At 41.8% G+C, this 14,344-nt stretch overlaps 2 long non-coding RNA genes across 12 annotated transcripts in view; one reads left to right on the top strand and one right to left on the bottom strand.

The window, feature by feature from the left end:
- The window catches only part of LOC124906243 (uncharacterized), a 207,146-nt gene that overhangs the window by 77,324 nt on the left and 115,478 nt on the right, over window positions 1–14,344 (top strand). Inside the window, exon 2 of the long non-coding RNA XR_007095917.1 lies at window positions 6,710–6,768. This is a non-coding gene — a long non-coding RNA (uncharacterized LOC124906243). The remainder of the gene's footprint in view (window positions 1–6,709; window positions 6,769–14,344) is intronic.
- LINC02030 (long intergenic non-protein coding RNA 2030) overlaps window positions 1–14,344 on the bottom strand; it is a 74,093-nt gene that overhangs the window by 27,318 nt on the left and 32,431 nt on the right. The gene's annotated exons all lie outside the window — the stretch shown is intronic.

Below are 14,344 nucleotides of genomic sequence, written 5' to 3'. Positions count from 1 at the left end.
CTGTGGTTTTTCTTTCCTTTTAGATGGGAAAGGGGGTTTATCTCCTTAGAAGTTTCAGGGAGATCTTTTCAAAACCCCACAACTTGACGTATTGTTTAATAAATATTTGTTGATTTAGTAGATGAGCCTGCAAAAGCTATTCTCATATATGCCAACATTGCCCCTAGGGAGACATTGAGTCTGTTGGATCCAATGACCTTGGATAGCTTAGAATGATTTGGTGATCTGGCGTTAGACTTAGGAATAAATGTAACCAGTTTGAAGTCTTATAAAAGCACAACTAGACTGGGAATTAGGGTAGCTCAAACTATTTGGTGTGAAGTTTGAGCTCTGTATTTCATTTCATAGCTGGACATAAGCATTGCTATTTTCTCGACTAGTGGTTCTCAACTGGTGGCAATTTTGCTCCCCATGGAATATTTGGGGATGTCTGGAAACATTTTTGGTTATTACTACTGAAGAGTGGGGATGCTACTGGCACCTAAAGTGTGAAGGCCAGGGAAGCTGCTAAATATCCTGTAATGCACAGGACAATGCCCCCCTCCTCCCACAGCAAAGCGTTATCTGGCCCTAAACATCAGTAATGCAAAGGTTGAGAAATCCTGTTCTAGACAGACTTTCTACATTAAAGAGCAACCCAAGGGAAATTATTCCTAAAGGTTTTCCTCTGAAAGGGAACTTGACAATTAACAGCTCAAAGTCCCTTTAGACTCTATTCTATGTGGTTGGATAACCCCTGGGCCTTCTAAATATATCCGTATCACTGTGCTTGCAGATTAGCAATCCCCCTCCCCCATCATAAGCTCCTCCCCCATATACAAAGGAGACTTGAGCCAAGTTCTTTATGGCCCCGCCCTAATACTGCTGTCTGTTCAAATATTGCCAAGACTTGGACATTGTCACAAGTAAAGTGCTTGAGAATGATGCAGTAATGAAGGCAGTGACCTGATTGGGTCCTACCTACCCTGTCAGTAAGGCAGAGAGAGATCTATAGGACTTGTATGAAAAGTGTTTCAGCTTCAAACAACCAATAAACAGTGCTCAGCCCCTCTGTCTGCCTTCCTTGCTGCAGTTTGACATGCAATTAACACACAGGGATTCAACTGGACTACAGCTCAAGGCCATCGAGGTTTTGTTCTTGCCAACTTGCAGAGAATTCCTGGACTAGCAGACCAGTTGGACAAGGGCCTTTGGAGCTAGAAGGTGACTTTCATTAAAATGACTCAGTACTCTCCACAACCATCCCTGAGATGTGTGCTTCAATTCTGTTCAGACTAAACCACTTCACAGTGCAGCTAGCAAAAAGAAGGCTTTTAACATTCACTTGTAGCTATTCTGAACAATGATAAAAGATGTTACCAAGACTTATTTCAAACAGTTTACTGTGTGTCAGTTGCATAGAACTTAGATGATGCAAGATCACTCCCAGGAGGTATATTCTCCTGTTTACTCCCTGAATCTGCGTGAGGTGCACAACCTTTGAGCAGGCACTGATGGGGCTTCCTCCATGTGGCAGGAATTCACAGATACAGATCAGAAGGAGAAGGAAGCATATAAAGTGCAGAATGCACAGAAGCTGAATTCAGCTCAGCCTAGGGCAGCAGGAGGAGACGGAAAAGAGGTGCCTGCAGAGCCTGAGAGGAGCCTGGAGGATGCTGAAGGCAGAGAAACCTCCATGGTGATAACAGCACAAGAACAATCGAGATGAGAGAGGATCTTGCCATTGACAGTCATCATTTGCTCTTTTGCTCTGTTTGTCCATGTAGGTTCTTGTGTATTTATGCCTCCTTCCTGCTTCCCTTCCTCCTTCCCTGTTGTGCTATTGTGTCTTTCTTCCTGTTGGCCACATCTCCTTACCGTGATCAGAGCTGTGTGCCCCATCAGTGCTCAGCTATGAAACTGCTGTGACCTTAAACCCTGGGGAGCCAACCTTACAGGCAGTATCTGTAAAACAACAACTTCAATCTAGTGAAATAATTTATTAACTCAGTGAGACAACTGTTCCATTCGGGAACTTTATAATCAGGTAGAGGAGAAAGACATGTACGTTAATATTGCTGTACCACTCTTTGAAGCTGGCCTGATTATGTCCATTTAAAAAATGAGTTAGCTGAGACTAAGAGATTAGGGGTAAAAAAGAACTAAATAGATATTGGCTCTGAACTATATGGAATAGAATATTTGATTACAAATAAAAATCTTTTTTAAGATAAAAGTTTTAATATATTTATTTGAAGCTTTGAGGGTGATTGGCATAAAGATAAATTTTTGATAATAATTAAGATGTAATTACAACCCCATTAACCACACTTTTTTGCATATAAAAGCTTGGCGTATCTCATTCCTCTCAAGGCTTTAAAAACTATATGGTAGTCCACCGGGGGGATAGGAGACAGGAGATAAGAGTCATAAAACAAAAGATCCAAAGATTTCAGTAGCTGTGGTGGATGATGTTCTTCCTGTGGAATTTTCCAATGTAACCAAATGATCTTGGGTCCCATAGCCGGTGTTTGCTCTTGAAATTGGACTTGGAGCAGTTGGAAACATGTTACATGATCTCCATCAGCCATCTCTAAGTTTATTAATTACCCCTATTATTACCAACTGTGAGATTTGTAGAATGTTACTTAACTTTCTGAGACTTGTTTCCTTATTTGAAAGAAATATGGATTAAAATAATAATCTTAATAAATTATAGATACTATTATTATTGAAGTTTGCCTATTTACAGCTTGCCCAAGCTAAGAGAAGTGCGTCTTCTCTCTCCCATATTTCCATGTAGTAGATTCTTCCATTTCTTTCAGAAGGTGAAAGTCTTAAAATTCCAAGTTACATTTAGCTATAGATTTGGAACTTCCCTCCTCTGCCTAAGCAGATTTAAAACAATTCCTATTGTTTTACAAAAGCAATCATTCTGGCAATTGATATGGATACCTGGCCTTTCACATCCCTCCTTTTTGCACTCACCTCTCCTGTCTCTTCTCTTCCCTCTTCCCTCCCCTCAACCCCACAAGTTTGCTGTGGTTTTCAAAATATTCAGATATAAAAATGTTTTATTGTTGTTTGTTTGTTTTGGTGGCATAGAATCCTTTTTTTTTCCAGAGAAAACATTATACAAAGGACCAATACATAAAACAGACCAACACTGACCTGCTGTCTTTGACATGGGGAATAGGCGTTTGCTCCCACTCCCTCCCCACTTTATTTTACACTGTTTTTCAAAGGAACATGAGGCATTTTCAAAGGAACCTTAGGATTTCAGCGACTGTATCTTACGAACCACTTGTCCACATGAATGAGATAACAATGTTAGTTCTCCCATTCCCAGAAGGTGTGTAGAAACTGTCCTAGCTTAGATGGGGGGAGGGGGATGTGGGGGGCGGGAAGACAGGGGAGGGAGCGTACTTCCATGTGATTCCCCCCAGGGCCCACAAGAAATGCATGAGATAAGCACCCTGGCCTGGATCTGGCTATATGGGGCTCTAAACATCTGTGACGAACCAGAGCATGCAATTCAGTCACACATATGTCTCAAAATACATTGATACTTTGGTCTTTCGACGTCACCTCAATGGTCCAGCCATACAACCTGCCTAACCGAAAGCTGAGCACATTTTCCATCACCAGGCCTTGGTACTCATGGCTTCCCGCTCCTGCACTAACACCCATCCTTCTCTCTCTGCCTGGCTATTTGACTCACTCAACCTCCAAGGCATTCTCCATGAGCTCCTTCCCAGTTTCTAGAGCCAGAATTCTTTGGTGTGTTTGTTCATTTGTGCCTCCCCAGCATTCTTCTGTCTCCCTCACAGACAGGAGAAATGCCCACTCATACTCACTAGATGGATGCCGTGGTGATCACATCCTGGGTAAACTACCGCCCTATTACTGTCAGTAATTACATCACAAAGTGCCCACCATGGGCCAGACCCAAAGGAGGAGTCTTATAGACATTATCTTTCATTGCTGACCACTCCATGTTGCTTCATTAGATAGCAGTGTTCCTTGCTAAGTCAGACCAGGGAAGGATCATTTCCAAAGAAAAAGCAAACCTTTTTATTCCTAATTTTTTTCTCTTTGGGTGTCAAATGTAAACTGGGCAAGATAGAATTACTCAGTTTACCTCTACAACAGTCCTATTTTTCATGCTGATTCTGAGCTTCAGTGAGAGTCTGTAACAAAAGTGTCTCTCAGTGAGACAATTTTTATCTTGGCTCTCAGTGATTATAATGAACTATTGAGCAAGTATTTTTTTCCTGGAAAGTCCAGTTATCAGTTTTGGGTGGCTTTTATCTACTCATAATCCAGCAGATTTGTAAAAACCCAACATTTCCGGTGCAAATACTTTACTTAGGCTAGTTCATCATCCCTTGCCTAAGTGATTACAGAACTATTTTTTAAATCAAGGACAGTACCCATCAGTTGGGTGTAGTGACTCATGCCTGTAATCCCAGCACTTTGGTAGGCTGAGGTGGGCGGATCACGAGGTCAAGAGATCGAGACCATCCTGGCCAATATGGTGAAACCCTGTCTCTACTAAAAATACAAAAATTAGCTGAGCATGGTGGCACACACCTGTAGCCTCAGTTTCTTGAGAGGCTGAGGAAAGAGAATCACTTGAACCCAGGAGGCAGAGGTTGCAGTGAGCCAAGATCATGCCACTGCACCCCAGCCTGGAGACAGAGTGAGACTCCGTCTCAAAAAAAAAAAAAAAAGAAAGTATTATAGTGGGACAAATTATATCTACAAATATTTGTTGAGTACTATACCACATCCAGTGCTGAGTATGAAGACAAACATAAAGATAAATACTATGTTCTAATGAAGGAGACAGAGTCCTTGTCCTCAAGTAGCTGATCAAGTACAAGGCAAGAAATGCTGGCACATGACTAACTGGAAACATTCATTCGTTGTTTATATTCAGTTTTGTGTTAGGAATTTATGGCATCTTACAAAGAAACATACAACACAGAAAAAGTTAAAGACTTAGAAGTGAGGAAGAAAGATTAGGCAAAGGGAAAACAAGGTCAACCAGAGCTAATATTGAGGCCAGTTCACAAAATACACCACCTGGAAACTGCTGGAAAGCAAGGGCCATCTCTGTTGTGTGCACAGCTATCCCCAGTGGATGGCACAGTGCCTGCCACACTCAATAAACAACAGATGAAATGGGCACTTCTTCCATTGTAGACCATGTAGCAACTCTATTCATGATAGCAAAACCACATTTGGTGAATCCAAAATTTAAGGCCACCTTCTCTAGACCCAGACTACATTGAAAAGTTGGAAGCTGGAGACCTTACTGCCATATCTTTCAATTTGGGATGGATGTATCTTGTTTGAAAAAAAAAAAAAAGGATGGCAGAATATGTGTTGCAGTCTTGGTTGCACTAGTCTAGTGGCTCTTATTTTTCAAACATATTTCTCTTTAATTTCATCATTATTACCTTTTATTTTGACAGGTAGGGTTTTTCTCCCCATGTTTATGTGTTTCATCTTTCCAACTGAAGGTACTTAGAAAGTAGGAACCAGATAATCTTCATCTTTGCAACTTATTCCTGCTTCTTGAGCATGTAGCACAATACCTTGAACATGGTGGGCACCAAATAATTCCTTTTTAACTGTTTACTCTTGTGGGCATCGACCAGTGCTAACTCAGTTTGAGTCAAGACTATATTGTGCAAATGATGATGGTGAGCTGCAAAGCCTCATTTATATATTGACAGCTAGTAGGGTTCAAAAAGCCAGTGTGATGAAAAGATGTATCAGTGTGCATGTGGGTGTCTGATCATTTTACCAGCCAGAGTGCATTCTTTGGCAACCTGATTCTAGACTTTAGTGACTCCAAATTTAAAGTAGGGATAGAGGAATGTAAGACAGGAGGGCTGAGAGGAAAGGGGCTGTGACACACAAGGCAAGGACTAAGTGGTGTGAGATGTTGGATGCAGTGTGTGATGAAGAGAGGGGAAAGTGAGTAAGAAGCTTTTAAGCAGTGATGATGGAAAAATACATAAATAAAGCAAAGGAATTTTAAAAAGTAATAGCATGGATTACAAACTGGATCTTTAAAACAATGTTCTCTAAGAGAGAAGACTAAAGGTAGATATATGTTTTAAAACTATTAATCTTGCCTCCTGTCCTGTTTGTTTAATGAGAAACCACACTAGTACTGGATTGTATGTGACTAGGGAATTATTCTGGTTACAACAAGTAACATATTTTTACTTCAAAACACACACTCTTGGTTACACCAGTCATAATTACTCACGTAGTGAGTTAGGAAATTCTACAACCAGGGAGAAGTAGAGCAGGGCAAAACTATTCAGGCATTACTTTAATTTAAAAAATAAAAAAGTAATTTCAAAGCCTAAAGAGCAATAAATGTCATGAGTCGGCTCAAAGAACAATGAGACACTGTTTTCACCTAACAAATTAGTAAATATTTTGGAAAGTATTGACATGTATTAAGTGAATTCTGTTATAAGTTTTTAATGCCTGATACGATTAGGCTCTGTACCCACCCATATCTCATCTTCACTTGTAGCTCCCATAATTCCCACATGTTGCAGGAGGGACCCAGTGGGAGATAATTGAATCATGGGGGTGGTTTCCGCCGTACTGTTCTTGTGGTAGCAAGTCTCATGAGATCTGATGGTTTTACAAGGGGAAACCCTTTTGCTTGGTCCTAATTTTCTCTCTTGCTTGCTGCCAGGTAAGACATGCCTTTTGCCTTCCACCGTGATTGTGAGACCTCCCCAGCCACATAGAACTGTGAGTCCATTCAACCTCTTTTTCTTTATAAATTACTCAGTCTCCGGTATGTCTTTGTCAGAAGCGTGAAAACAGACTAATACAATGCCCAGCCCAAAAAAGAAAATTAAAAGTCCATATATTACTGGCTGGATTACTAATTGAATCAGAATTTATGGAAAATCATCTGGTAATGTATGTTAAGCTACTTAAAACTGTTCGTACCCTTTGGTGGAATAAGTATCGTAAAGCAGTAATCAAAAATTGAAACAGAATATGAAATATTTTACAGCCATTAAGAATCAGGTTTTAATGAATATATAAAATAAATATTCATATATATGTGTGTATATGTGTATCTGCATATTATATGACTTCAATTCTGTAGAAATGTGCATGATCATACAACAACATGCCTGAAAGGAGATGCTCTAAATGTCAGGTTTTATTGGACTGTTAGAATTATGGGTGAATTTTTTTCCTGCTTTTAAAAACAAAATTTGTATGGGTGGGTATGGCTTTAATAATATAACAAAAATAAACATTTTTTGGGGAAAAAAAAAACTAGTTCATAACCTAAGCCAGTCTCATTTACTTTGCCTAACAAAAGATCCTGTTAAATTTTCTACCAGAAAAAAAAAAAACCTTGACATGCAGACCCATCAAAGAGATTTGTCACTGTCTCTTCAAAGGAGGAAATTATGTTTCAAATTCATCCTTATCCCAAAGCAGCTAATTTGATTTTATCAGTCATCAGCAAAGCCCTTAGATTACATAATTTATGAATTTCTAGGCTCCATCCCTACAGGGCAATATTCAATATTTAATGGAAACCATTACACTGTTAGATTTCTAGAGCTCCTCTAACGTGTTGGCTTGGAGAAGCCTCCAGCCTGAAGTACTGAGTGGTCATCTCGAGCATATCTGTTTGGTCTGACAGCACTAGACAGATGCAGAGGTGGAAACAAGATGAGGAAATTAGGATGCACACATGTTAGCCCTGGGATAGGAAGCCTGGAGAAATGACCCCAGGACACAGGTGGCAAAAGTAGTTGCAAAGATGATTCTACAATGAACTTCTAGGGATTGATGTTTTCATGAAAAATTATCTAATTGTCAGAAGCAAAGGGCCTCTCCTGGCTGCAAGACGTTCCCAGACCAGCCTCCTTTTCCTGGGCATCTGCTGTCTGAAAAAACTTTGTGTATCTGTTTTGCATTAACAGTGTAACTCATCTTCAGCCTTATCCAAAATTGGACCTGGACTTTCTCCTCTGCACCACTTCACTTTGCTTTCCTTCTGTTGCCGGTGTTAGAACAGAATTTAATTTGTTCATCCTTAAAGGCTTTTCCATCACTAGATTTCTCAGGAAGTTCTGACTCTTGGTATTTATTCCCCTGACAAGTAGGCTTTGAGGATGAATCTCATGTGGCTTGTCAGGTGCATTGAAAACAAATCTCCTGGCAGTAAGGGAGTTGCTATGAATGGTGTTCCGGCTCTGTTTCAGGAGATAGTGCGATTCTGGGACAAGTAGTGCAATCGTGGAGCCATTTTATTTTTAGAAATATCATTCTCAGTCTCACGTCTGTTGTCAAGAGTAATAACAGTGAACACACTGCAAGGATGCCTTTAGAAGTAGAGGGGCTGCAGGTATTCGGGTAATGGTCTGCAGTAAGAGAGATGCTGGGATAAAATGCCTTTCTCCAGAGATGATAGAAAGGAAAAGCATTCCATAGTGAGTCATCTCTTGGGTTCATCTGCAGTCTACTTTTTGCCCTTTCACCAGAAAGCGTAAAAGTAAAGAGAGTGAAATCCAATGTTCTATGCCTTTTGTCTAGCTGAGAGATGCAGAGAAGGCAGCCACAACCTCCTGAGCAGCCCACCTCTAACATTCTTCCCAGAAGTCATGCTGTATGCAGAAAAACCTGAATACAGATCCTGAGACTATAGATCTTTTGGTTACAGAAATCTCAAATTTCAGGCATCTTACAGGTGTTCCCCAAACTGACAGTCCATTCAGACTTCCCTTTGTCTTGGTCACTGGTGATGCATTGTGCTCCATCAGCCATGTTCCTGCTCTAGCTGTAGATGCTTGGCAGTGCTGATGTTGTGCTCACCTCCACTCACTATAGCTTCATCCAGGGAGACCAGGCCAGGGGCACATGCTGTCAGCTTATAGCATGTCCCATTCATTCCTTCATTCGTTTATGGTAGGAATGAAAGGATAGGTGATGTCAACTTATTCCTCTCTTCCTTCTCCTTCTCCTCCTCCTTCTCCTTCTTCCTCTCCTCCCTCCTTCTTCTCTCTCCTCATCCTCCTTGTTCTACTCCTCCTTCTTCTTCCTCTTTACTTTACCTGTGCCATGGATTTAGGTCAGGTAAATATGTGATTTTGGTCCCACAGTGAGCTAAGCTTCCTATCAGTGTTACTAAAACATACCTCGTTACTATGGCCATCACTCCTAGTAAGTAGCATTCCCCAGCTTACATACCAGTGCAGAATCTTTCTCTAGCTTTAGTGTGTATCCAGGTCAGTGCTTGTTAAAAAGGATCTGAATCAGGGTGCAGGGATCTCACTTTTAACAAAATTCCCAGGTGATTCTGCTGCAGGTCGTCTCTTTGATTCACTAGATGAAACATGGTGCTGTGCACGACCCATTTTATGGCTAGATGGGGTCAGAAAGCACCCAGTTCGTGATAGGCAGTTCAGGTCACATGGTGACTTGATGGCCCATAGTCAAATGTTCAGTTTCCACAAAAGCCCAGTAAGAGGTCAAGAACTGTCTCTCAAAGGGAGAGTAGTTATCTGCAGAGGATGGCAGGGCCTTGCTCCAAAATCCTAGTGGCCTCCACTGTGATTCGCCTATAGGAGCCTGCCAAAGGCTCCAAAAAGCATCTCTATCTGCCACTGACACCTCAAGCACCATTGGATCTGCTGGGTCACATGGCCCAAGTGTCAGAACAGCTTGCACAGCAGCCTGAACCTGTTGCAGAGCCTTCTCCTGTTCTGGACTACACTCAAAACTGGCAGCCTTTCAGGTCACTCAATAAATGGGCCAGAGTAACACACCCAAATGAGGAATGTGTTGCCTCCAAAATCCAAATAGGCCCACTAGGCATTGTGCCTCTTTCTTGGTTGTAGGAGGAGCCAAACGTGGCAACTTATTCTTTACCGTAAAGGGCCTATCTCAACAGGCCCACGCCACTAGACCCCTAGAAATTTTACTGACGTAGAAGCTCCCTGCATTTTAGTCGGATTTATTTCCCATCCTCTGGCATGCAAATGTCTCACCAATAAGTCCAGTGTGTTTGCTCTTCTTGCTCACTGGATCCAATCAGCATAATGTCATCAATGCAACAGACCAGTGTGATATCTTACGGAAGTGAAAAAGCAATCAAGGTCTCTCTGAATAAGATTATGACACAAAGTTGGAAAGTTGATATACCCCTGAGGTAGGACAGTAAAAGTATATTGCTGGCCTTGCCAGCTGAAGGCAAATTGCTTCTGGTGGGCCTTATGGACAGGAATGAAGAAAAAAGGCATTCGTCAAGTCAATGGCTGCATAGTAGGTACCAGGAGATGTGTTAATTTGCTCAAGCAATGAAACCACATCTGGTATAGCAGCTGCAATTGCAGTCACCACTTGGTTAAGCTTATGATAATCCATTGTCGTTCTCCAAGATTCATCTGTCTTTGCACAAGCCAAATGGGAGAGCTGAATGGGGATGTGGTGGGAATCACCACCCCTGCATCTTTCAAGTCCTTGATGGGGGCACTAGTCTCTGCAATCCCTCCAGGGATGTGATATTGTTTTCGACTTACGATTTTTCTAGGTAGAGTTAGCTCTAATGGCTTCCATTTGGCCTTTCCTACCGTAATAGCCATCACCCTGCCAATCAGGGAGCCAATGTGGGGTTCTGCCAGCTGCTAAGTATGTTTATGCCAATTATGCATTCTGGCACTGAGGAAATGACCACAGGATGAGTCCAGGGACCCACTGTAAGTCAGACCTGAGCTAAAACTTCATTAATTACCTGACCCCCATAAACCCCTACTTTAACTGGAGGACCACAATGACATTTTGGGTCCCCTGGAATCAATGTCAGCTCAGAGCCAGTGTCCAGTAGTCCCCCACATTTCTGATCATTTCCCTTTCCTCAATGCAGTTACCCTGGTAAAAGGCTGGAGGTCTCCTTGGGGAAGGATGGGAGAAAGATTCACTGCATAAATTGTCAGTAATGTAGTGGTGTCCTTTCTCGAGGGTATCCAGCCTCCTCTTCCTTCAAAGGGTTCTGGGTCTGTAAACTGGCTCAAGTCTGGAAATTGATTGAGGGGCTGTGATTCTCTGTTTTTATAATTCAAATTAGTCTTTTGTCCATTCGACCTAGAAGTTTTCTGTTTGTATAATTTAAGTAGGAATGCAGTAGGCTCCTATCAATTTCACTTCTAGGAACGCTGTGATTAATTAGCCAATGCCAGAGCTCTACACAAGTCAGACTATTCTGGTTGCCACTTTGCCTCTGCTGTCCATTATGGTAACTACGCCACCTTGCCTTTGACGGTTGAGTGATGCCACTTGGCCCCTGCCCCCTCAGGATCCAATTATTCCCATCGTATTTAAATTTTGTAGTTGAGTGACTGCTATTCCCACCATTGGATCTGACATACAGAGAAGAGCAATTACAGGGCTCTTCAAAGATGCAGGTGCTGCCCTCACAAATCTATTTAACAAGACATTAGTCAAGGGTATATCTTCTGGACCCTCCCAGCTGGGATGAGTAGGTCTAATGTGACTAATCCACTCCACCATCCCAATCTCCCTAAGCCTTTGGATCCCTTCCTCTACATTAAACCAAGGGAGATCAGGCATTTCCAGCTTGCTCACAGTGGGCCATCTTTTAATCCATATTTCAGCTAACCAAGCAAATAAACTGTAAGAACCTTCTTTAACTCCCTGAGCTGCAACATTAAATGCAGAGTCCCTACTTAGTAGGCACAAATCAGTAAATTCAGCCTGATCCAACTCAGTGTTCCTTCCACCATTGTCCCATACCCTTAATATCCATTCCCATGGCTGTTCTCCAGATTGCTATTTATATAAATTAGAGAACTCAAACAGTTATTTTCAAGTGTAGTGTACTGCTTCATGAGTCACACTCTCAACCTCACCTCCAGGGGCCCACTGGGACTTTAGTCTAGTTATAGGTCTAGAAGCAAACAGGGGTGTTGGAAGCGGCTCCTGAGGAGAATCAACATTATCTTGCCTGGCAAGTGCCTCAGGGGAGGCCATCACTGTTGCCTCAGGCAGCACAGGATTTATCTCCTCAGACAAAGGTGGAAAGGCTGATGGCACCATGGGTCAGGGAAGGGATGTTGCCACTACTGGGGATGGGGAAGCTGTTCCTTCTGGCAAAAAAGGTTCATCAGAGTTTACAAACTCAGTGTTCCCAGTTCCATCAGGGTCCTCCCACATGTCCCCAGTCCAAGTTGCAGGGTCCCGTTCTTTTCCAATCAATGCCCTCACTTTAACAGTAGACACCTGGCAAGGCTGTGCATACATCTTTCATTGCAGATCAGCTACTCACATGATAAGAGCTTGTGTCTGTTTTTCCACAATTTCAGCTCTTTCTCTACAGGAGATAAGACTCTCACTCAGGGCAATCTTAGCAGATTTGAGGCTCAGTATCTGCTTCTAAAGCTGAGAGACAGAATCCCTGAGTTTATCATTTTCTTTCATCACTTTATCCACTGAACTTAGGAGCAACCAACCAGCTTCATTATGTTCCTTGGTTCTCCACATATGGTCAAAGGTAGCATAGAGTCACTAAACTCCTTGCCGTTCACAAGCGGTGAATCAGGAGTGTCAAATGCATTTATTTTGCATAATTCTCTAAACAGCTCATGCCAAGGACTATCAGTGTTTTCTATACTATTAGAAGTAGAGTCCTTAGCATTTTTGGGTCTAATCATATTAAGCAGCCAACTCCAGAAACCCGAAAATAATTAAAGAACTCTATCCTTAATATTCTGTTCCTCTAGAACCACTCCTGGTACCAAAATCTACATTAGTCAGAGTTCTCTTAGAGGTACAGAACTGATTAGATAGATAGATAGATAGATAGATAGATAGATAGATAGATAGATAGAATGTATTATATATATGAAGAGTTTATTAAGTATTAACTTACACAATCACAAGGTCCCACAATAAGTTGTCTGCAAGCTGAGGAGCAAGGAGAGCCAGTCCAAGTCCCCAAATTGAAGAACTTGGAGTCCGGTGTGTGAGGGCAGGAAGCATCCAGCATGGGAGAAAGATATAGGCTGGTAGGCTAGACCCATCTCTCTTTTCGCATTTTTCTGCCTGTTTTGTGTTTGCCAGAAGCCGATTAGATTGTGCCCACCAGATGAAGGGTGGATCTGCCTTCCCCAGCCCACCGGCTCAAATGTTTATCTCTTTTGGCAACACTCACACAGACACACCCAGGATTAATATTGCATCCTTCAATCCAATCAAGTTGACACTCAGTATTAACCATCACAGACACAAAACTACAAAAAGTAGTTTTTAAATCAAAGAACAAGGGATCTGTTTTCCACTATTCTGACTATTTTATTCCAAGAGCATTTCTCCCATTCATGTCTTGGGCGCCTTTGTTCTACTCATCTCTCAGGGATATTGCCATGCACCTCAGCCTCCAGGAATAACTCATTACCTAAATGATCTGAATCAGGGTGCAGGGATCTCACTTTTAACAAAGGTCCTAGGTGATTCTGCCACAGGCCATCTCTTTGATTCACTATATGAAACATTGGCACAATAGTTAGAAAAGTAATTTTTAAATCAAAGAACAAGGGATCCATTTTCCACTATTCTATTTTATTCCGAGAGCATTTCTCCTGCTCATGTCTTGGGTACCTTTGTTCTTCTCATCTCACAGGGACACTTTTCTGCAATTGCCGGCACCTCAGCCCCCAGGAATAACTCATTACGTTTCTTCCCATTTGCACATGGGTATTTCTTAACATAGACAGTGCCCTGCATTTTCTTTCTATTATACCATAGAACTTGAGATTTCTTGCATTAAATGTGAGAAAACTAGGATCAGAGAGTTCTGACTTCAAAACTTAGCTCTTCTACTTTCTATCCATGTGACTTAGGCAAGTTAACCTCTTTCAGTCTTGTCTGTAAAATGGGGATTAATAACATTATTTACCTTCTAGGGTTGGAAGGAAATATAAAAGCTAGTGTATGCTAATATAGGTTAAGTGAATGAAAACTTAGCTCAGTGAAGAAGCCAATATAATTTTTTATTACAGACAATTTTTCTCTGTCACCCAGGCTGGAGTGCAGTGGCACGATAATAGCTCATTGCAGCCTTAAACTCCTGGTCTCAAGTGATCCTTCCACCTCAGCCTCCCTAGTAGCTAGGACTGTAGGTGTGTGCCACCATGCCTGGGTAATTTTTTTTTTTTTTTTTTTTTTTGTAGAGTTGGCATCTTGCTATGTTGACCAGGCCGGTCTTGAACTCCTGCGCTTAAGTGAGCTTCTGCCTTGGCCTCCCAAAATGCTGGAATTACAGGTGTGAGCCACTGTGCCA

Source organism: Homo sapiens, chromosome 3, assembly GCF_000001405.40.
Source record: "Homo sapiens chromosome 3, GRCh38.p14 Primary Assembly".
Classification (NCBI taxonomy): Eukaryota; Metazoa; Chordata; class Mammalia; order Primates; family Hominidae; genus Homo; species Homo sapiens.
This window is presented reverse-complemented; position numbering and strand designations above follow the sequence as displayed.